Consider the following 24,946-nt stretch of genomic DNA (forward strand, 5'->3'; position numbering starts at 1 on the left):
CTACCCTGAATGTGCCATGCAGGAGAGGCCATGTGCAGGTGCTCTGGCTGATGGTCTTAGCTGAGCCAAGCTTTCCATCTATTCCTCTCAGGCACAGGATGTAGAATGAAGAAATCTGGGACCCTCCATACCAGCTATCCACTGGCTGATTATCACTGAGTGATCTCTGTTAAGAGCATCTGGAGCAGAATTGTTTTTAATGGCCAGCATGGGGCCTCCATGCAGCCTGTCCAATTTTTGTATCTGTGCCACTTTGAAAAAGTATAAATGAATATTCTTTAGAACCTAAGTAGGGAGTTCCAACTGTCCTTATTATTGTATGTATGTATGTATACATAGATGTACTTGTTCTCCTTTTTATATTTGGTAATAAGATTAAATCTTCTCAATGGGATAGGTTCAAAGTGATGGGACCAGTTTCCTTTTGGCCAGCAAATGCCATCTAGCCTTCTGAACAGCTCCTGTGGCCCTAGCTGGGTTGTGATTGATATGAAGGAGCATCCCAGTGACCTGAAAATTTGAGCCTTCAAGGAGGGCTGGGAGAAAAATACACTTTTGTAGGTGCAGAGCAGGTATTGGTAAAGGTCATATCTAGTGGGAATGTGCAATGGGCATCCCAGCATACCTGTGAGTAAAGGCCCTGGGAAAGCCTGGCTCACCCCACCTGTCCATGAGTGGATGCCTATGATCCACCATTAGTCAACTTCTCCCTAATGTTGAAGAGTTTTTACACCTGCTATTTCCTTATCTGGAAGAAGTAATATCTCAGTGCCTCAATTCCTTAATGTGAATGAGTTAATTAGGTGACTTTCAAGGGAATGGATGTTTGAAGGCCTTTGACAATAAAGAAATAACATGCCAGGCATGGTGGCTCATGTCTGTAATCCTAGCACTTTGGGAGGCTGAGACAGGTGAATCACTTGAGGTCAGGAGTTTGAGACCAGCCTGGCCAACATGGCAAAACCCCATCTCTACTAAAAATACAAAAAGTAGCTGGGTGTGGTGGAACATGCTTGTAATCCCAGCTACTCGGGAGGCTGAGGCAGGAGAATCGCTTGAACTTGGGAGGCAGAGGTTCCAGTGAGCCAAGATCATGCCACTACACTCCAGCCTGAGCAACAGAGTGAGACTCCATCTCAAAACAAAACAAAAGAAAGAAAGAACCAAAGGAGAATGTGGAAGCACTACTAATGACTCTCCTCTTTCCCATTTTCTTGAGGTCACCATGCATGGGACAACAAAGGACCCGATAACTCCACAGCATATCAGATCTTGGTTTTCCATCTTGTCTTGCACACCCAAACAATTCTGTCTTCATTATGATGAGTTATAAAATAAATGCAAACACTCAGAATATCAGCCATCACTATTCTGCCCAGGCAAAACTCCCTATCCATGTTTGTCTCATTCCAGGCTTCCCAGAGAAATAGAACTGTGCATGATGCTGGTGATTTCAGGTCCTCTGGGTTAATACCAGAAGGGTCATGATATGGTGGGCTGTGTCCCCACCTAAATCTCATATTGAATTGTAGCTCCCATAATCCCTGTACGTCATAAGAGGGACCCAGTGGGAGGTAATTGAATCATGGGGACAGGTTTTCCTGTGCTGTTTTCATGATAGTGACTAAGTCTCATGAGATCTGATGGTTTTATAAAGGGCAGTTCCCCTGCACATGCTCTTACCTGCAGCCATGTAAGATGTGCCTTTGCTCCTCCTTCACTTTCTGCCATGATTGTGAGGCCTCCCCAGCCATGTGGAACTATAACTCAACTAAACCTCTTTTTCTTTATAAATTACCCAGTCTCAGGTATTTCTTCATAGCAGTATGGAAATGGACTAATACAGGCCACTTCCCAGATCTGTAATTTCTGGTCTCTTAGAAAGGACTGGGGGAATGGGGCTGGTACTATGAATAGAAGAAGAAAAAAAGAGGCTGAGGGGCATCTTTCTCAGCAGGTGGAGTCATCCCTTGCTCCCTGCTTCCTCCACGTGGGGGACCCAGTCAGAGAAGCCCCATGTTTGGCTCCCAGATCTGCTGCACCTGTGCAAGCTGGCATTGGTTTTCTATTTGAAATAACAGTATCACAGCCTGTGGTCATTACTCTCTGGAGTAATTACCCTTCCACTACAAAGCTATAAAGTTCCACGCAGAGGAGGAGGAAGCAGGAAAGCCACACAGCCAGCCAGCTATAACCACTTAGAAACACTTTTATCCTTATGAAGTCAAGAGGCTCCAGCTGATAGAGCAAAGTGATGTCTCAATCTTTTCTCAAAGAGCACACTGGGACCAGGCTTTTACATATCACCCTTTTGTGGCCCATGTACTTGGATTCACATATTCCTCAGTATGTTCATGCCACTCAGCTGCTTCCCCAAATGTTTTCTCAGCTCAGACCTTCCAGAGCTGAAGACAGCATCTCACATTTGAAAATCCCAAAGTCTTGCCTAAATTTAACAAACTAGAATGATGGCTCAGACCATGCAGGGCAAATAAAGACAAAAAATATGTAATAGGTAGGCAGTGATATTCTTGGCTGGGCGAGGTGGCTCATGCCTGTATCCCAGCATGTTGGGAGGCAGAGTGGGTGGACTGCTTGAGCTCAGGAGTTTGAGACCAGCCTGGGCAACATAGTGAAACCCATTATCTATACAAAATACAAAAATTAGCTGGGTATGGTGGGGTGAACCTGTAAACCCAGCTACTCAGGAGGCTGAGGTGGGAGGATCACTTGATCCCCAGAGGTTGCAGTGAGTTATGATTGCACCACTGCACTCCAGCCTGGGCAACACTGCGAGACTTTGTCTCAAAAATAACATAAAATAATAAAACCCTAATTAGACCAATGTATATCTGGCTAGTCAAAGCACGTTGCCTCAAGATTACTTGTTATTAAATACTTGTAGGCAAAATCACTAATTTAACAAATATTAATTGAGGTCTAATTTCCTTCAAGGTCCTTTTCTAGGTGCTGAGGATACAGTGGGAATGAAATGAACAGTTTCTCTCCCCTAAATGGCTTTGCATTTTAGTGCAAAAGATATAAAATAAACAATGACCATCTCTGTCTGTTTGTCCCTCTCTCTTTCTGTCTAAATCTATGTATCATGTATGTATGTATGTATGTATGTATGTATGTATCTATCTATCTATCTATCTATCTATCTATCATCTCACACAGTTAGTAGGAATCATTAGTATAAAGTGGAGAAATTCTAAATTTGGGTTGTCCAGTATGGTAGCCACTGGTCATATGGGGCTATTTAAATACACATTTAAATTTATTAAAATAAAAATTTTAAAAATTCAGTTCCTTAGTCTCATTAGCCATTTCAGTTGTTTAATAGCCATATGTGGTTAGTGCTTACTATACTGGATAGTGCAGCTATAAAACAATTCTATCATCACAGAAAGTTCTGAACGGCACTGCCCCAGCTTAGCTGTCTGCATGGCTAATTTCATTCTCCTTTAATATTAAGCCATGCTGATTATATTAGTCAGGGATCTTCAGAGAAATAGATCCAATAGTGTGTGTGTGTGTGTGTGTGTGTGTGTGTGTGTGTGTGTGTGTGTGTAAGATTTATTATAAAAGTATTGGCTCAGGTAATTATACAGGCTGAAAAAATCCCAAGATCCCAGGATGAGTCCAGTCTGGAAACCCAGGAGAACCAGTGTTGTAGTTCTAGTTGGATTCTGAAAGCCTGAGAACCATGAAACTCAATGGTGTGGTTCCAGTCTGAAGGCCAGCAGGGTTGAAGGCCATGAAGAGCCAATTTTTCAGTTTGAAAGCCGAAAAAAGCTGATGTCCCAGTATGACGGCTGTCAGGCAGGAAGGATTTTGTCTTACTTGGAGGATGGGCAGTCTTTTTGTTCATTTCAGGGCTTCAACAGATTGGATGAGGCCCACCCACATTAGGGAGAGCAATCTGCTTTACTCTACTGCCCATCCCTGCCCCAAATCACACAAATACCTAGAATAAAGTCTGATCAAATCTCTGAGCACCGGATGACCCAGTCAAGTTGACACATAAAATTCACTATCACCCCAACCTTAGTTACTTAACTTAGTTAATACTTAGTTAATATTAACACTAGTGATTGTGACATTTGGAAGCAGCATAAGTACACACCCCATCAGTCTAGCTACTAAAATTTCACCTGTGATTTCATTTCCTCTCCAAAATGGTAAATTCTGAAGTCAGAGGGAAGGAGCAGCTTACACTTCAACTTGTATCAAATGAAATTTTAGAGCATTTTCTTGGGCCAATATTGAGTTTGGATTTGTGGTGATATGACATGAGTTCAAATCCCAGCCTTGACACTTGCTAGCTGTACCACATTGAGCACATGATTTAAGATCCCTGAATCTTACTTTTCTCACCTGTAAAACAGGATGACAACATCTCCCTCACTGTTGCTGTAAAATATAAATGAAAAAAATGTGAAAGAGTGTTTGAAAGATGTGAGTCATGCCAAGGCCTCTACAATGTGACTTCAAAATGAGAGATCATTTCATTGTGTGCCTCCAGAGGGCACAAGATGCACTTTCTTCATTTTGATTTCCTCCAGTGCACCTGCTACATGATAGACATTGAAGACACATTGAATGACGAAACATATGCATGAATTTGGGGCCCAACTAATTATGAGCTTTTAAAAAGTAGATAACATATTTTGTCTTCCTATGCTTAACATAATGCCATATTCACATATTAAGCTTCTCTGGGAAACACAATCTATACTCTCACACAACACTTCTGATATCAGATATCAAGCAATTCTCTAACTCTCCAAACACCAACTGAATATCCTACAATTTAACTCAATTCTTACACTATCTACCTGGAGTTAGGTTCAGATCCCACAAGTTAAGGGCTTAATCCTACAAGACTGCCCACTTCAGATGCCAATCACGAGTCTGGGCCTCCAGTGCTTCTGACAGAGCAGCTATAAATCACACGTTCCCATGACCCTCTCCTTAGTTTTGATGACTTGTTAGAATGGCTCACGGAACTCGGGGAAACACATCACTTATGTTTCCTGCTTTATTATAAAGAAAACAAAAGAGCCAGATGGAAGAGGTGCATAGGGCAGGGTATTGAGGCGGGTGGAGTGGAGCTTCCACGCCTTATCTGAGTGTGCCACCCTCCCAGAACCTCCACCTATTCAGAAACCCAGAAGCTCATCAAATCAAATCTTGTTGTTCAAGAGTTTTGTTTTTTTTTTTATAGAGTTTAATCTCCAGGCCTCCTTACCCCTTCCCAGAGGTAGGTGGGTGGGGCTGAAAGTTCCAACCCTTTAACTCTTAGTCTTTCTGGTATCCAGCCCCCATCTTGAAGCTATCTAGAGACCCCAACCTAAGTACCTCCATTAACATAAATTCGAGTGTGATCAAAAGGGGCTCCTTATGGATAACAAGACACTCTTATCACTCAGGAAATTCCAGGGGTTTTAGGATCTCTGTGACAGGAGCCTGGGATAAAGATGAACTATATTTTATATTATACTACAGTTTCCAAAAATGTTTTATAATATATTATCAAAGTTTGAAATTCAAAAAAAGAGTTTGTTCATAAGCAGCTTAACTCTAGGAGATTGACTACTTTATACAAATATAAAACCATTAGATGCTCAATTTTATGTCATTCCTCTTAGTGTGTCAGAGATTAAAATTACATTTAATAGCTTTTTGTTATTTTCACACCATCCAGCCACATTTTCAGTTCAATAATTCACCCACTACTGCAGTCATTACATCTCACTTGGGAGGAGAGAATAATTCTGTTTCACTCAAAAAGGGCACATTGGTCTATTTTGTCTCCTCCAATATCACCTATAAAATAGTTTCTGATTTTCTATTTTTCAGCTTAATGTGACCTTTCTCTGTAATGAATAAAAATATATTCATCAACTGATCTCGGTGAATTTTCTTTCTGATAACAAATGCCATGACTCTATGAAGAGACTTCCTCATTATCTTAATAAAAGGAAAAGGGCTGAGTCACAGTGGTGTATGATTCATTGACTTAGCAGGCCAGTGAGTCAGTTGGGCCCTGACTAGAGATTGTAAGTATGACAAAGGGGGCAGGCAGATTTCTGCTTCATGAGTTGCCACTATGGAACAGGGGAGCAGGTCAATGAATAGGACCAGGGAATGGAAGCTCTGTTGCTTACAGAGATACTTGGACCTCTGCAGAGCAGCCAATGAAATCAAGAGGGCTTTCACCAGGATAGCCAAAAGGCTAAGAAGCAGGCGAGGGAAGTTTTGCAGAAACAGCAGAAGCATGAATCTGTCTGATGCGGGCTTGTTTGTGAAATCTGGAAATAAAAGCAGCACAATTTCTATTTTATTGGTACAATAGAATACTTATTAACACGTTTTCAACAAAGTGTTTATAAAAATGAAAATACCTGTTTTTAAGAGATGGTAAGGCAAGAAATACAATTGGGTTCAAGAAAACTAGAGGGATGGAAAATATTAGTAAGCACTTACTATGTGGTGTACTGCATATATCATTCTATTTAATCTTCAACACTCATGAGAATTATGATGAAGCTTATGTGTTGGGCAGGAAGTGATAAAATGACATTGCCCTTTTTAACGATAGTGCTCAGTAAAGTGTCCTATAACTGTAGAAACATGGGACCCATTGCCAAGCAGAAAAGAGTTGTTATCTTACTTACACAGTTAGCCAGAGTGCAAATGAGCACAGCTTTCTTGGAGCACAATTCAATAATATTCAAATTTGCCTTTGGTGTCTGCAAAATGTGGATGAGCACAAAAATATCACAAGGATATCTTTTATGACGCTATTAATAACAGAAAAAATAGAAATGACTTGATTCTATAATAAGAGGAAATTAAATAAAGTAAAAGCAGTGCAATAAATATAATAAAATGCTATTAAATCATTTAAAATGGTTATGTAGAAAAATAATGACATGGTGAAATAATGTTCACAATACATTGTTGGAAAAAAGTAACAAAATATGTGTGTAACATAACACAGCATAATAGGTAGAATCTCCTCATCATCTACGTAATTCTAAAGCCCATGGCTTTTAAAAATACATCAAATAGAATGTTTTCAGAGTCTCACTCTGTCGCCTAGGTTGAATTGCAGTGGCATGATCTCAGCTCACTGCAACCTCCACCTCCCAAGTTCAAGTGATTCTCGTGCCTCAGCCTCCCAAGTAGCTGAGACTATAGGGTGCATGCCACCACACCCAGCTACTTTTTGAATTTTTAGCAGAGACAGGGTTTCCCCATGTTGGCCAGGCTGATCTCAAACTCCTGACCTCAAGTGATCCCCCCACCTCAGCCCCTCAAATTGCTGGGATTGATTACAGGTGTGAGCCACAGCACCTGGCATCAAATAGAATTTCCATTACAATTTCTTGTCTCATCTCCAGTATCACCTTCTTCATGGAGATTTTGTAGACTCCTTTTGCTGCTTGAGATTTCTCTCTCCCTGCTCCGTACCCCAGAGCACTTTGGTTAAGGAGTTTGGATATTTTACGAGCTTGCTTAGTTCAAGACCACATTCTTTGTTGACATGCTGAAGTACAGTTTCTTTAATGGTGGCTGCTTGGGGGAGGGGAAAAATAATTAGCTTCCTAATTTTATGAGCTTTTTGTTTCTCTAAGACCCTTACATTCAAACTTGTGCTTCTGTCTTTTCATTTACCATGAAGATTCCAAAAGACATCTTCCCTGTTGGTTGCCTCCTTATTCCCCAGAAGCAGTGCACTCTCAGATCATTTCCTTTCAATTTCCTTATAACCACCCCAACCCCATCCATAGCCTGTGTTGTGGTTCACCAGGTTTTAGATGCTCTCATTTTGCTCCACGGAGGGTGAGGCCATTTCCCTCTGGTGTGCTTTATTTTGTTTTTCATCACAGCTAGGCTCCTGCTGTCCTCTTCTTTCCCACGCAGTCTCTGCCCGATGCTCCATTTGGGTGTGAGTTCTGAAGCTGGCTCCGACTTTGCTGTTTTGAATATTTATTCCCCTACTTACATATGAGCTGATGATGTTAGTCATCTCTGTCTCCTAATTATGCTATAGCATGGTTGAGGGTGGTTTCCCTTGCTTTCTTTAATGGTCTGTACATTTTCTGGAGGATGTAGGAATTGATTCTAATTTAGACAGCTGCCATTATCCTCCAAAAACCTGTAAGCTCTATTCATGTAATTTTTGAGGGCATCAACATCTTTCAGAGAAGCCCAAGTGTTAATCAGATATAAAATAGAACTACTGTAGCATAAAGTTGGGAGCATAGTATGTTAGGGGCCTCAAAACCTTGCCTGCTCAGTTTTTTCCCCTATTCTTGGGATGGCCCTTGAAGGGGATCAATAGAAGGTCTCCAGGGAGCATTATACAGATCCTTGGACTTGACATTCTCTATGATCCTTCCAAGTCCTGATATTCTATAATTAAATAAATCATGGGCATTCCATTAATGCTTAATTAACAAGAAGATTCAGTCAACTGGAACAGTATTATGTGCAATCTTGTCCATTGATAATTCTTGGATTTTCCTCATTTTCTTTGTACTCTAGATTTTTTTGTAAGCAATCTTTTGAGACACAAGAAGTGGGGTGTAGAGAGGAATTCATTACTGTGTATTGTGTACCCCTATTAGTGGGCTAAACTAAAATCCCTAATTGGCATGAGCAATTTTCATTCTGCTAGATAAAATTCTTTTCCTGAAACAGCTTTATAATGCTTCCTGTTCATAATCTTTGCTTACTGAAGGCTCTGTGTCTAGATCTGCTAAAAATGACTCTACAGCACTCCCTCTTGCTCCTTACTACAGTAATTGGCTTCCATAAGCTTCTGTCTACATTAGCAAATTTTAAATGCCCTTCTGAATATCTGGTCTAGTGCTCTTTACACAAAAATAAGAAAACTTTTCTAATCATGATGCTTCTTAGCATAAATATAATGCTTTCACCTTTTTCCATAAACCCTTTCAAATCCATTTTCTCATCAGACCCATTTTTATTGAGCTAAGCTGGGTAGACATTCTTAAAAAAGTATTTTAGTTTTCACAGTATAAAACTAAGGCCAACAGCAGTGAAGTCACTTGTTGAAGATCTATCTGAGAAAACTAGACTTATAATTTGTTTCTTCATTCTCAGACAAATACACATTGTCCATTAGATTTCTCAAAATCTGTAATTAAAGCAGATTAAGTTAATCTTCAATTCATTTTAACTCAATGATAATGGCACTGTGCTCATAAATATTAGGAATTATAGTTGCTTAATTATGGGAGGGGGCCTTTGCATCAAGCTCATGTCTGTCTTAGTGGTTACTGACACTTTCGAGTCACTGACCACAAGTTGTACAGTCTGTCATTCCTGACACATTTGGTGGGCTCATGAGGTAATTCATAAAACCATAGGATATAGGGAACAAGAAGGGAGAAGAATTAATTTAAAGATCTGGGGAACCGCATGTTTCCTCCAAGGCATTTAGAAAACAAACCTGACCCTCTGGTCTCCTGTAAAGGACAAAGGAAAATGACAGTACTCAAGTGACGAGTGGGTGATCATGTTATTGTGACTCTGCTGGGGACAAAACCTGATTATAAGTCTAAGAACTATATTTTTGTCTATATGCCAGAACATGGTATCAGGAAAGGGCAACCTGCTCCTCTACATACCCTAGAAACCATGGAAAGGCCAATCAAAGTCTTTCACCCAGAGAAGCTGTGGCAGAACACACTATTGACAATAAAGGTCAATCTACACTCATGGGAACACACTGGACTGAGCAAGTGGTGGGGTGCTGAAGAAGGGGAGCCAAGTGGGAACTGACAACCCATCATCTTCTTTGAGCCTCACACACCTTTTAGATGGGTGTAATTATACCAGCCTTGTTGATAAGGAAACTGAGACTAAAAGAGGATAATAAATTATGCACCCTAAGAAGTCAAGTAGGTGTTGGAGCCCAGAAGGAACCTAAGTTTGTCTGAATCCACAGCCATGACTTAACCAACATGTTAAACTGCCCTGGGATCCACCATTGGATTCAAAAGGCAGATGCTTCACTATTTGAACAGATGCTTTACCTGTTTCAACCTCACATGCTTCATCTGAAAGCAGAGATAATAGTATCTACTTTACGCAATGGCATGAAGATGGAGACTCTGGGACTAAGATGGCAGCAGAGGCCCGGCATGGCTGGGGAGCTGTGACTGTTGCCGTGGGGCTGCGCAGGTGATTCTATCATTTGTTGAAGAATCAATCTATACACCATTAAGAAACAGCCTCTGGGCCGGGCATGGTGGCTCACGCCTGTAATCCCAGCACTTTGGGAGGCCGAGGTGGGTGGATCACGAGGTCAGGAGTTCAAGACCAGCTTGGCCAAGATGGTGAAACCCCATCTCTACTAAAAATACGAAAATTAGCCAGGCGTGGTGGCAGTTGCCTGTAATCCCCGCTACTCGGGAGGCTGAGGCAGAGAATTGCTTGAACCCGGGAGGCAGAGGTTGCAGTGAGCCGAGATCGTGCCACTGCACTCCAGCCTAGGCAACAGAGTGAGACTCTGTCTCAAAAAAAAGAGAAACAGCCTCTGCATCAATTTGTAGAAAGACTACTCTTCCCACTACCTGCAGCCTTTTGTAACCCAGTGAGATACATGTTTATTCAAACACAAGATATCTCAAATCCTAACAGTTTAAAGTTTATACCATGAAAACCAGTTTTTGAGACAAGGCCCATGGATTTTCCCACCCCAGCTGCAGCATTTTGCTCCCCTTTGGCTAGGCAGTTATTTAGGATTGAAGGAGTAAAAAGTGTTTTCTTTGGGCCAGATTTCATCACTGCCACAAAGGAAAATGAAAAATTAGACTGGAATTTACTGAAACCAGATATTTACGCAACAACCACGGACTTCTTTGCATCTGGTTTACCCCTAGTTACTGAGGAAACATCTTCAAGGAGAAGCAGGATGTGAAGATGATGAAGTTGTGGCATTGATTAAGGAAGTGTTAGATACTAGAATGTGGCCAACTGTGCAAGAAGATGGAGGAGACGTAATCTACAAAGGTTTTGAAGATGGTATCGTATGACTGAAACTCCAGGGTTCTTGTACCAGCTGCCCTAGTTCAATCATTACTCTGAAAAATGGAATTCAGAACATGCTGCAGTTTATATTCCAGAGGTAGAAGGTGTAGAACAGGGTATGGATGATGAATCAGATGAAAAGGAAGCAAACTCACCTTAAAATAATCTGGATATTCTTTGGGTACAATAGTCGGACTTATCGATAATATATACCAAGCTGTTATTATTAATATGCTGAAGAACTTGAAGATTAATAAAATATGCCATTTCTTCAGAGTCCAAAAAAAAGATCGAATGAAGAACTTATGGAAATGTCTGGCACACTATAGCCAATCATTTTCCACTGACTGATTTTATTTGACCATCTGGTTTTTATATCATTAATTCAAAAAGCATGTATTGAGTCAATAATATCAGCTGTAACTTATTTGTTGATCACTGTCCATGTTCTAGGCACAGTGCTTGATACTATTTATTATTTTATGTAATCCTTACAATAACCCTACAATGTAGGCATTCTTTATTATCTTCATTTTACGTTGAGGGAGCAGGTTCAGAAAGATTAAAAGAGTAAGAGGGTCAAGTCTCTGAAAATTCATTTTCCAAAATAATTTCACTAAAAGAGCAACTTGCTGAATATTTAAGAATTTTATTTTTACATTCAATTTTGCATCAGCATCATCCCCGCTCTTGCCTTGGCTTTTACATTTTCCTGTCTATACATTTTATATAAGAAAAGATGACATTTCTCTTATGCACAAAATCCAGTGTTTCATGGTATTCTATGCTTATGACTGCCCTGGCACTTGCACAGCCCCTTGCAGGAAGATCATGCAGTAAGCTGTCTTATTCTAGTTTATTTGCCCAAAAGTTTAGAGTCAATTGTTATTTAGTTAAAATATCATTGAGTGATCAGTAGATAATTGGATGAGCTAATTAAAAGCTATTCATTTATCACAAATTGAGCTTCAGCAAATTGACCCAGGGCCGAGGTGGTGGCCAGCTTTCTGCCATTGTTATTGTTGCTAGTGATCCTTTACCATGTGGCAGGTGACTGACATCAAGTACCCTGAATGATGCGAGTGCTCAGTATGTTTGGAATTTAAAACAAAACTTATTCTTCCTGATCTTGGGGCTCTGTGTAGTGGGAGCAGAATGATCTCTGTGAAAGCTATATCTGGCAACTATATATTTATACACCCAACCTCATGTTTATAAAAAGGCCAATAATGCATGTTGTTTATTTTCATGCATGTTGTTTATTTTTAGCTTTGACTAGTCTCTGGCAAAACCCACCTCTTGTAATAGAAAGAAAAGGGCTGGCTTTGTTTTCCCTATCCCATGCACTTGTCTAAGCTATAAATATCAGAATCATTAAGCTCCTCTTTTTCCTCTCACTCCCCCTATATTTATGCACATCAATTTGTGCTTCTTAAATATCTCATGACAGTTGTCTTTGATACAACCTTTCACCATTACCCAAGAGAAGCCACCATCATCTGTTATCTAATCACTAAAACAATCTTCCAAAAGCTCTCCAACCTCCATCTCTTCCTTATCCAATCCATTCTCCACACAACAAGCAGAATAATCAATCTGAAATGCAAATGCCATATGGTGTCACTCTGCAGCTCAGACCCACCATAGGCTCCTTGTCACCTTAAGAATAAAGTCCAAATGAAAATATATGGCAGCCAAACACTTCACAGCTAGGACCCAGCTTTTTCTGCACCTGTACTCTCTCCTCCTACCAGCATGAATCAGGGCAGCTCTCCAAATGAAACAACCTCTTCTCAGCTCTAGAACTTTGCATATGCTTTCCCTCTGCTTGGAATGTTTTTCTCTTTTCTCTGTCCAACTGCTTTTTATTTATCTTCTTCCAAATCACTGAGGTGCAGTTTTAATGTATTCACATAGCTCTTCTATCAGAGAACTCATCACGCTAGACAGCAATTGATGGTTCCTTTTGTGCCTTCACCATAGGACTCTTGACTCATTAGGGGCAAGCACACAGGAAGGCCAAATAAATAGATGTTTAAGGAATGAATGAAATTTAAATATGAGGTAATTTGAATTGCACTCCTGCCCCCAACTGATGACAACTAGAAAACCTGAAAAAAAGAAAAAAATCTTGAAGGCACAGAAGAACTAGCAAGATATTGAAGAATGACTAGACCAAGAGCCAGCGGGCAGTGGAGGTCTAGACATATGAGCTCAGCTCATTTTAGGAGGTCACCATAACCTTGATACCAAAGTCTGGTATGGGTACTACAAGAAAGAAAATTTACAGGTATGGCGGGCGCCTGTAGTCCCACCTACTGGGGAGGCTGAGGCAGGAGAATGGCGTGAACCCGGGAAGCGGAGCTTGCAGTAAGCCGAGATTGCGCCACTGCAGTCCGCAGTCCGGCCTGGGCGACAGAGCGAGACTCCATCTCAAAAAAAAAAAAAAAAAAAAAAAAAGAAAATTTACAGGTAAATTTCACTCTTTAATAAAGATGGAAATAGCCTGCATATTAGCAAATTCAGCAATATTTTAAAGTGGTAATACACATTGAACAAATGGTTTTGTTCTAGAAATACAGGGTTAATTTAACATTTGAAAATCAAACAGTGAAATCCTCCACATTAACAGAATAAAGCGAAAAAAAAAAACCATACATTCAACATTGTTTTGGAAGTCCTAATTAATGGCTGTAGAACAAAGAAAAGTTAAGAAGATTAAATATGATTAAATAAAATTAGTATTATTCACAAGTAATATAATTTATGTAAAAATGTCTAACACTCTGCCGGGCACGGTGGTGCGTGCCTGTAATCCCAGCACTTTGGGAGGCCGAGGTGGGTGGATCACGAGGTCAAGAGATTGAGACCATCCTGGCCAACATGGTGAAAACCCGTCTCTATTAAAAATACAAAAATTATCTGGGCAGGGGGACATGCATGTGTCTCTGTAGTCCCAGCTACTCGGGAGGCTGAGGCAGGAGAATCGCTTGAACCTGGGAGGTGGAGGTTGCGGTGAGCTGAGATCGCACCACTGCACTCCAGCCTGGTGACAGAGTGAGACTCCAACTTAAAAAAAAAAAAAAAAGTCTAACACTCTAAGAATCTAAAATTTCTGTTAGTTTCCTCTTGCTGTGTAACAGATTATCACAAATCTACATTTGTGCTTAAACGACCTACATTTTTTATCTCACAATTTCCTTTGGTCAGGAGTCCAGTTACAGCTCAGCTGGGTCCCCTGCTCCAGATCTTGAAAGGCTGCAGTAAAGGTAAAATCTGGGGCTGGGCGCAGTGGCTCACATCTGTTATCCCAGCACTTTGGGAGGCCAAGGTGAGTGGATCACAAGGTCAGGAGTTTGAGACCAGCCTGGCCAATATAGTGAAACCCTGTCTCTACTAAAAAATGTAAAAACAAGCCGGGCGTGGTGGTGCGTGCCTGTAGTCCCAGCTACTCAGGAGCCTGAGGCAGGAGAATCGCTTGAACCTGGGAGGTGGAGGTTGCAGTGAGCCAAGATCACGCCATTGCACTCCGGCCTGGGTGACAGAGTGAGACTCTGTCTCAAAAAAAAGAAAAAAAGGAAAAAAAAAAAGGTGTCAGGTGGGCTGTGGTCTCATCTGAGGGCTTCTTCCATGCTCATGCACCGTAATTCATTTCCTTGCAATTGTATAAGTAAACAGCAGATTGCTTATTTTTTGAGGCAAACAGGAGAATCTCTCTGAACTAAGGGAAGGCCACAATCCATCTAGTGAAGGGCTCCTTTGATCCTGGCCCACTAAGGATAAGCTTCCTTTAGATTAACTTAAAGTCAGTTAATCAGAGACTTGATGCACATATGCAAAATCCTTTCACAATAACAGAAAGATTAGCATTTGATTGAGGAACTGGGGACTATAGTTCAAACTAGGAGGGTGACAAAGGAAAAAGCCATCATAGTTTGACAACTTTATTAAATAAACATTAATAAGCAAAAATCAACTGTTTATCTGTGTCACAGCAACCATTCATAATGACACAAAAATATGAAATGGCTAGTAGCAATCTAATAAACAATGGGCAAGAAGTCAATGTTGAAAACAATACATTATTATTGAGATAAAGAATAGCTAAATAAATGAAAGAATAAACCATGTTTATGGATGAGGAGATTCAGTAATATAAAATTATCAGTTTTCTTAAAACTTGTCTATAAATGCAATGCAGTTCTAATAAAACCCCCACATTTTGTGAGAAATGACAAAGCAGTTCTAAAATTTATGTGGAAGTATAAAGAACCAAAAATAGACAAGAGTTTTGAAAAAGTAAGCAAGTTAGAAAAATTTGTCCAACAAAATATCAACATTTAGTATAAACTAATAAATGGGTTATTTACACAAGGCAAACTCACATACATAAAGACCCTTGCTTTATAACAAATGGATCACTGCAGAATAGTGGAGGAAATGTTAATCTTTTCAAAACATTGTGCTGGACAATATAAAATTAGCCTTCTACATCATACTATACCTAAAAATTAACTCCAGGAGAATTGTAGATCTAATTGTGAAACATGAATCAATAAACTTTTAGAAGGTAAGAGAACATAGCTTTATGATTTCAGAAAAGAGATTAAAAACTTCATAAATAAAATATTGAAAGAACTAATAATAGGTAGAAGATAAATTACACTACAGTCAAACTGAAAACTTCTGTTCACCAAAAGATACCATTAAATAAGCAAAAAACAACTGTTTTTCTGTAATGATATAAAAATACAAAATATACTTCATAATGACATAAACATATAAAATACATAGGAATAAATCTAACAAAAGATGGGAAAAAGGCCTAAGTACAATCCAATACATTATTATTGATATGAATTAAAGAAGAGCTTAAGATAATTTAAAAGACATAAATTGCAGAAGAAATAATTTAAAAAGAAATTATCTCTAAAAAAATCAAATAAGAAATTACAGAAGATAAATAGAATAAGAATATAAAGAAGACAAAGGTACAGAAGTCAAGTCACAGAGTGAAAGGAGATTTTTGTAATACATAGCACTCATATCCAGCTCATATCATAACCTGCTCATATCCAGCATATTAAAAAAAAACCTCTCACAAATGAATAAGAAAAAGATAACCCAAAGAACAATGGGCAAGAGACCTGAACAGATTCTATCTCTCTATCATCTCTATCTCTATCTCTTTCTCGATCTCTATCTTTATCTCTCTCTATCTAGCTACATCTATATCTGTATGTGAACAAGTGCCCAAGAAAAAAAGAAAAAGTGTTTACCCTCATCAGTACTTAGGAAAATATTTGTTAAAACTAATGAACATGAGCCAGAATGGCCAAAAGTAAAGAGACTGACAATAGCCAATGTTGATGAGGATATGGAGCAACAGGAATTCTCATTCACTTTGTAATGTTTAAAATTATCTATAAAATTTAAAGATACACATAACTTAAGCTCAGTGATTCCAATCCTGAGTATAAACTTCTATAAATATGCCACGTGAATCAACAGACATAACACCAATGTTGATAATGGCACTATTCTTAGTAGACAAAAGCTGGAAAAAAACCCAAATGTCCATCAACAGTAAAATAGATAAGTAATTCATGGTATATTCATTTACTTAAATACAGTAGAAAAATAGCATTGGACAAACAACAGTTATGGGTAACATGATGATTCTTGTAAACATTATATTGAACCAAAGAAGCTGGAGACAAGAAGATACTTACATTCTAAAGTTTTTCCCACACCAGGAGATAGACAAAATTAAGAGAAACAAGAATAAATTGCCTCAAAAATCAGTGTAGTAATTGCCTTTGGGAAGGAGGTAGAACAGAGATTGGAATGGAGCACTAAGGAAGCTTCTGGTCTGTTGGTAATGTTGTTTGTTGGCCTTCATGATGATTACATAGGTATTTACTACATGATAGAACATTGTTCTGTATATCTTGCTATATATCATAATATTAAACATTAAGCACACCAGAATTCAAGTGAATTCATGAATAAAAACCCAAAGTTCTTTCTAGTCCCTAGAAGGTTTCTCTAACCTTTCCCTAATCCCACACTTCTGGGGTGGAAAGTGAGGAAAGGTATTCAGATAAGAGGTCCTATCCTTCTCTCTTTGGGGCTTTCCCTACCACATACTTACTTTGCTGTGTCCTCCCATTCCCTGCCTCCCCACCTGTCTCAGAGAGTTGAAGAGCTGCCATGCTGGTCTGCCCAGGGGCTGCTGACCACAGAGGAAAAGTCCTTTCAGGTTGTGAGGGCACTGAAGGGTGACCCTTTCTTTCCATCACTCCTAGCAGGGCATTATTCAATGGGCAGGTGTTTCTTTTTTTTTTTTTTTTTTTTTTTATTGATCGTTCTTGGGTGTTTCTCACAGAGGGGGATTTGGCAGGGTCATAGGACAATAGTGGAGGGAAGGTCAGCAGATAAACAAGTGAACAAAGGTCTCTGGTTTTCCTAGGCAGAGGACCCTGCGGCCTTCCGCAGTGTTTGTGTCCCTGGGTACTTGAGATTAGGGAGTGGTGATGACTCTTAACGAGCATGCTGCCTTCAAGCATCTGTTTAACAAAGCACATCTTGCACCGCCCTTAATCCATTTAACCCTGAGTGGACACAGCACATGTTTCAGAGAGCACCGGGTTGGGGGTAAGGTCATATATCAACAGCATCCCAAGGCAGAAGAATTTTTCTTAGTACAGAACAAAACGGAGTCTCCTATGTCTACTTCTTTCTACACAGACACAGCAACAATCTGATTTCTGTATCTTTTCCCCACATTTCCCCCTTCTCTATTCGACAAAACCGCCATCGTCATCATGACCTGTTCTCAATGAGCTGTTGGGTACACCTCCCAGACGGGGTGGCGGCCGGGCAGAGACGCTCCTCACTTCCCAGACGGGGTCGCGGCCAGGAAGAGGCGCTCCTCACTTCCCAGACTGGGCGGCCGGGCAGAGGGGCTCCTCACATCCCAGACGATGGGCGGCCAGGCAGAGACGCTCCTCACTTCCCAGACGGGGTGGTGGCTGGGCAGAGGCTGCAATCCCAGCACTTTGGGAGGCCAAGGCAGGTGTCTGGGGGGTGGAGGTTGTAGCTAGCCGAGATCACGCCACTGCACTCCAGCCTGGGCAACATTGAGCACTGAGTGAACGAGACTCCATCTGCAATCCCGGCACCTCGGGAGGCCAAGGCTGGCAGATCACTCGCGGTTAGGAGCTGGAGACCAGCCCGGCCAACAGGGTGAAACCCCGTCTCCACCAAAAAAATACGAAAACCAGTCAGGCGTGGCGGCGCGCACCTGCAATCGCAGGCACTCGGCAGGCTGAGGCAGGAGAATCAGGCAGGGAGGTTGCAGTGAGCTGAGATGGCAGCAGCACAGTCCAGCTTCGGCTCGGCATCAGAGGGAGACCGTGGAAAGAGAGAGGGAGAGGGAGAGGGAGAGGGAGAGCGAGAGCGAGAGCAATGGGCAGGTGTTTCTAGGAAACACGAGGAACAAAGCATCAGTCCAGACCACTGGAGTCAGTCTTCATGAAATGTCATTGCTGGGCCATGTTGCCACTGTCTACATGTCTGGGCTCTGGCAGGGCTACAAGCACTGCAGGTAGGATTCAGCATCTGGCTTCCCAGGCATTGTCTTGATAAGAGCTGGCAGCCACCACCTGCCCTCCCAGCCAGGATAAGTATGGGAGAAGCAACACATGTATGAAGGGCAAAGACAAGTGAACCAGATCCCTGGAATTTTATCCATTTCCCTTTCTCTAGCATAAAAAAAAAGAACCTACAACTCTCGCAAGGGCCTGACTGACTCAATTCCAGCCTGTCCCTGACTTGCATGATTCTGATTTGCAGACATTGGCCAAGAACAGACAGGTAATCTGCAGAGATCCCATAGCTTTCTTGGGTTGATTTTTCCCCAGACTGATGCATGAAAAGCTGGTGCAGTGTACTGCATTTGAAAAGAGCTTGAAAGAGGCAGAGTGAGTGTTTTGCTCTGTCAACAGAGCCTGGAGGATTTTGCTGGTAAAGACAAGGAAAAATCAATATGGCTATTTAAAAATGTAATGGTGGCTGCTAAGCAGTATCAGAAAGGGCATTCCAAGGAGGACTTTCAAGGCTTTAGGAAAGGAGAAGGAAGAAATTTAGTGGAGTTTTAAAGCTTTATATTTCTGTTCTTATTCCACTTCCAAATAGCCTACTTCCAAGACATTTCTGCTGTCTAATCTTGCCTGACAATGTTAATAGCTGCTCTTTCTTGAGTACCTAACATATGCTTGGAGCTTTGCACACACAGTCAGTGGAAATATGAACCCTACTTAAAGATTTTGCTACCAATATTACTAGATTATCTCATCTTTTTTTTTTTTTTTTTGCCAGGCTGGTCTCGAACTCCTAGTCTTAAGTGATCTGCCCACTCCACCTCCCAAAGTGCTGGGATTATAGGTGTGATCTTGTATGCTTGGAAAAGATTTCTAGAAATGAGGTTTTTGGGTTAAATAATGCTAGGATAGCCAGAAGAGAGGAGCTAACGCAGTGGCAGAGTTGTCTTGGCATTCCCGCATGCAACCGAAGACGTCAATGGACAGAGGCCCATGGAGGTACGGGGTGGGGTCATCGTGAAGGGGCTGATTTTCACTGGTTTGGGGAGATGTGTTTAATGCCACAGCCTAACCTCAAAATAAATATTTCTTATTATAAGAGAGGGTTGTGGGGAACACAAGTAGGGACGTGGGTTTTCCATATAGGATCTTTGGGCCATAATGGGCAGAATTGTTACAAGGAGGCAATTATCTAGACCCTAAGTTGTGGCCAATATATTAGTGTCATGAGGGGTTTTATCTTGCTCCACAAAGATAAGGAAATCCAGCATCTGTAAGAGTTTTCATCTGTAGTGTTTATTCCAAAGCTAAGACTCCTCCATTTTCCATGAGAACTGGAGCTCTAGGAAGCCTAATCTGAGTTTGTTCTCCACAAAAGCCAGAATAGAACATCTTGACACCCAAATTTTGTGTATATGTGTGTGTGGGGGCGTGTGTGGAGGGAGGGTTTAAAGGGAGTGGAGGCAGGAGGCTAGACTAGAGGAGCAATTACCTAAAATCATAGTCCTTCTTAAAGGACTTAGAGCTGCAGGTGGCAGGAACAGAACATAGACTAGTAACACCTTGCAGGTTGAAACCTTGAAAATTTAAACCAATCTGTTCAATAGCCTGGCTTCCCATTCGGGGAGGGTTTCTCTGCCCTGCTTTGCCCACTTGCCACACCAACCCCCTGGGAAAAGCTTTTTTCTTATGACTTTAAAGTCCCCTCACCATATGAGACTAACATTATAGAAGAAACCCATCTAGGGAGGTGAGAGGAGATCATATCTCTGAGGGTAGGTGGGGAGGTGCCTTAGAAATACCTGCATTAGAACACCTTTTTAAAATTATTATTATTTTTTAGATAGAGTCTCACTCTGTTGCTCAGGCTGGAGTGCAGTGGCGTGATCTCAGCTCACTGCAATCTCTGCCTCCTGGTTCAAGCGATTCTTGTGCCTCAGCCTCCCGAGTAGCTGGGATTACAGGTGTGTGCCACCATGCCCAGCTAATTTCTGTGTTTTTAGTAGAGAAAGGGTTTCATCATGTTGGCCAGGCTGGTCTGGAACTCCTAGTCTTAAGTGATCTGCCCATTTCTGCCTCCCAAAGTGCTGGGATTACAGGCATGAGCCACCTCACCACATTTTAATAAAACTTCTCGATTCACACCCTTCCCCGAGTTCCGGCCAGGAGGATTCTTGCCCCTTTCAAATTATTAGAAAGTTCAACTAGAGAATTCCTTCTCCCTGTGGAGTTTTACCCCCTGCTCCTCTGGCCACCCTCCCAATGGATCCCTGTGGTGCCAGGCAGGAATGGGCTGCCTGGGGAACCAGCAAGCTCCCAGGGCCTTTCTGCTGCTTCCTCTGTGCCTGTATTTCACTCAGCTCTCTAACTTGACTCAGCTTCAGGTAAAAGTCAGAAACTTCTCCCACAAACAGATCTTCAGCTTCTCCAGTGGGGGTGTGTGTTTGGGAGAGGAGGGTCTCCCTTTCTCACTTCTGCATTTGGGCACTCACAGTATTTGGGGTGTTTCCCAGGTCCTGCAGGAGCAGTCCACTTTTTTGAGAGGTCCTGTAGGTCCTCTTGGGATTGCTGGTTTGTTCTTGCAGTAGATCTGGAGCTAAAATTCACAATGCAAGCCTCTGCATGTTGCTCTGTCCAGAACTGCAATCTAGTCCTGCCTTCTGTCTGCCATGATCCCCCAGTCTCTCGAAAACGCATTTAATACAACAAACCTAATAAACATCATAGCTTAGCCTAGCCTACCTTAAACATGCTCAGAACCCTACAACTGGGCAAAATCACCTAACACAAAGCTTATTTTATAGCAAAGTGTTGAATTTCTAATGTAATTTATTGAATACTATACTGAAAGTAAAAAACAGAGTGGTTGTATGGTACCTGAAGTATGTTTTCTACTGAATGAATGTCACTTACACAACATTGTAAAGTTCAAAAATCATTAAGTCAAACCATTGCAAGTTGGGGACCACTTGTTGTAAGTTGTGTTGAATAGCATAGCCTCAGACTAGGCCTTTTAAATTTATTTTGGGAAATGATCCTAGTGAACAGGAGTAGGCTGATTGAAAAAATGAAACCTCTCCCTCTCCCTCTCCCTCTCCCTCTCCCTCTCCCTCTCCCTCTCCCTCCTCCCGCTTTCCACGGTCTCCCCCTCTCCCTCGTCTCCGTCTCCCGCTTTCCACGGTCTCCCTCTGTTGCCGAGGCTGGAGTGTACTGCCGCGATCTCGGCTCACTGCAACCTCCCTGCCTGATTCTCCTGCCTCAGCCTGCCGAGTGCCTCGGATTGCAGGCGCGCGCCGCCATGCCTGACTGGTTTTTGTATTTTTTGGTGGAGATGGGGTTTTGCCATGTTGGCTGGGCTGGTCTCCAGCTCCTGACCTTGAGTGATCTGCCCGCCTCGGCCTCCCGAGGTGCCGGGATTGCAGACGGAGTCTCGCTCACTCAGTGCTCAATGTTGCCCAGGCTGGAGTGCAGTGGCCCGAACCTCCACCTCCCAGCCGCCTGCCTTGGCCTCCCAAAGTGCTGAGATTGCAGCCTCTGCCCAGCTGCCACCCCGTCTAGGAAGTGAGGAGCGTCTCTGCCTGGCCGCCCATCGTCTGGGATGTGAGGAGCCCCTCTGCCCGGCCTTCATCTCCTCTAGGAAGTGAGGAGCATCTCTTCCCGGCCACCCATCGTCTGGGATGTGGGGAGCACCTCTGCCTGGCCGCCCCGTCTGAGAAGTGAGGAGCCCCTCCACCCAGCAGCAGCTGCCCCGTCTGGGAAGTGAGGAGCGTCCCCGCCCTGCCGCCCCATCTGGGAGGTGGGGAGCGCCCCCGCCCGGCAGCCGCCCCGTCTGGGAGGTGGGGGGCGCCCCCGTCCGGCAGCTGCCCCGTCTGGGAGGTGGGGGGTGCCCCCGCCCAGCAGCCGCCCCGTCTGGGAGGTGGGGGGCCCCTCTGCCCGGCTGCCACGTCTGGGAAGTGAGGAGCCCCTCTGCCTGGCTGCCACCCTGTCTGGGAGGTGTACCCAACAGCTCATTGAGAACGGGCCATGATGATGATGGCGGTTTTGTCAAATAGAAAAGGGGGAAATGTGGGGAAAAGAAAGAGATCAGATTGTTACTATGTCTGTGTAGAAGGTAGACATAGGAGACTCCATTTTGTTCTGTACTGAGAAAAATTCTGCCTTGGGATGCTGTTAATCTATAACCTTATCCCCAACCCCGTGCTCTCTGAAACATGTGCTGTGTCAACTCAGGGTTAAATGGATTAAGGGCGGTGCAAGATGTGCCTTGTTAAACAGATGCTTGAAGGCAGCATGCTGGTTAAGAGTCATCACCACTCCCTAATCTCAAGTACCCAGGGACACAGACACTGCGGAAGGCCGCAGGGTCCTCTGCCTAGGAAAACCAGAGACCTTTGTTCACATGTTTATCTGCTGACCTTCTCTCCACTATTGTCCTATGACCCTGCCAAATCCCCCTCTCCGAGAAACACCCAAGAATGATCAATAAATACTAAAAAAATTAAAAAAAAAATGAACCAAGGAAGAATGGAAAGCAAATTCAAATGTACCTTATTAAGCTAATTGATACTATGAACAACTGGGGTTCTGCTCTGCTGATGATATTCTGAGAGAAGTAGACATTACCTCAGAATAGACCCCATAAGAAATGGAAGAGGAAAATAGTTATCTGCTGGCTTCCATCCCCCACTGGTTAAAAGTTGGTCCAGGGGAATTTAACTTTCTTGTACTTCTAGGTATGTGTTGGTGTCAGAATGGATAAGTAGTCTCATCTAAAATAAAAGAATGTTTCATTTTGGAAATTGATAAGTGTATTCCAAAAAGTGTATATCAAAATTCAAAAGAACATGAATATCTCAAAGAAGAACAAAGTTAGAGGAATCCCCACCTATCAATTTTTATTAAAACACTACACTAATAAAGTAATATGGTATTTCTACAAAGATAGGCAAATAGATCAGTGGAACAAAGTAACAAGTCCAGGAACAGGTCTACTGTTTTAGTTGGTTTGAGTTGTTATGATAGAATACCATAGCCTGGGTAGTTTATAAATAACAGAAATTTATTTCTCACAGTTCTGGAGGCTGGGAAGTCTAAAACCAAGGTGCTGACAGATTCATTGTCTTGTGAGGGTCCACTTCCTCATAAATGGCCATCTTTTTGCTGTAACCTCACATAGTGGAATGGCTGAGACATCTCTCTGGAGTCTCTTTGATAACTGCACTAATCTCATTTATGAGGGCCTGTTTGCCAGACCTAGATGTCTCTACTATTAGGATCACTAGAACCTGTTAGTTACCCCCCATTAAAGAATGTTGCATACTAGAATATAATTGCTTATTTGTTTGTCTTCCTATTAAACTGTGAGTTCCTGGAGTCTTCTATTGTATCCCAGTCCTGAGTATACTGTCTGGCACATAGTCAAAATTTAGTAAATATACTCTGAACTGGATTGAATGGTAAAATAATATAGAATGTGGGCCTGAGTGATTTATTCTGTTTGTTTTACTCTCTTTTTTTTCTCTAGAAAACATAAGATGAGGGAAGTACTTTATTTGCTCATTTTATACCTAAGATGAGGTGTGCCTTCATATCACCTGGTCCAAATTCCCACTACCCTCTACATGAAACAATTCTTTCCTGATAAATCTAGCCTAGCAATCCATTTATGAATATCAACATCTAGGGAGGTCAACACTCGCTCTTACCTTGAAAATATGTATGTTCAATTTTCTTAGCAAATAGAAGTAAAAGTGAAACTAACTGACATAATATTTTTTATTGATAAAATTAACAAAGATTCAGGTGGGCAAAAAATTTGCTGAATCTACTATTTACATGCAAAGAAAAACATGGACACCCTACCTCACACTGTAAAGAAACACTCAAAATGGATCAAAGACCTAAACATAAGTGCTAAAACTTTGAAACTCTTGGAAGAAACAGCACAGGCAACAGAAAAAACAACAGATAAATTAGACATCATCAAAATTTAAAACTTGTGCTTCAAAGGACACCATCAAGAAAGTGAAAAGACAACCTAAAGAATAAGAGAAATTTTGTAAATCACGTATCAGATGTGGGACTTATATCTAGAATGTGTAATAAACCCTTGCAAATCAATAATAAAAAGACAAATTACCCAATTAAAATTGGGCAACACACTTGAATACACAGTTCTCCAAAGAAGATATACAAATGCCTAATAAGCACATGAAAATATGCTTAACAGTTAAAATAATACAGGGAAGAGATCTTACTGTGTGGACATC

At 41.7% G+C, this 24,946-nt stretch overlaps 1 pseudogene, besides 3 other annotated features; it reads left to right on the top strand.

Moving 5' to 3' along the window:
• Positions 5,749-6,248: an enhancer, noted in NCBI's record as "500 bp enhancer 66 fragment used in low-throughput reporter constructs". NCBI's record gives its function as "activates both an SV40 promoter and a TATA-containing promoter in HepG2 and K562 cells {active_cell/tissue: HepG2 | K562}" and the evidence as "EXISTENCE:reporter gene assay evidence [ECO:0000049][PMID:23512712]".
• Positions 5,927-6,071: an enhancer, noted in NCBI's record as "145 bp enhancer 66 fragment used in the MPRA reporter construct; PK_construct_3382". NCBI's record gives its function as "activates an SV40 promoter by MPRA in HepG2 and K562 cells {active_cell/tissue: HepG2 | K562}" and the evidence as "EXISTENCE:reporter gene assay evidence [ECO:0000049][PMID:23512712]".
• Positions 5,994-6,004: a transcriptional cis regulatory region, noted in NCBI's record as "NFE2L2 motif; enhancer activity is lost when this motif is scrambled". NCBI's record gives its function as "necessary for full MPRA enhancer 66 activity {active_cell/tissue: HepG2 | K562}" and the evidence as "EXISTENCE:site-directed mutagenesis evidence [ECO:0005528][PMID:23512712]".
• NFU1P1 (NFU1 iron-sulfur cluster scaffold pseudogene 1) lies at positions 10,569-11,350 on the top strand (annotated as a pseudogene).

This window comes from Homo sapiens, chromosome 3, assembly GCF_000001405.40.
Source record: "Homo sapiens chromosome 3, GRCh38.p14 Primary Assembly".
Taxonomy (NCBI): Eukaryota; Metazoa; Chordata; class Mammalia; order Primates; family Hominidae; genus Homo; species Homo sapiens.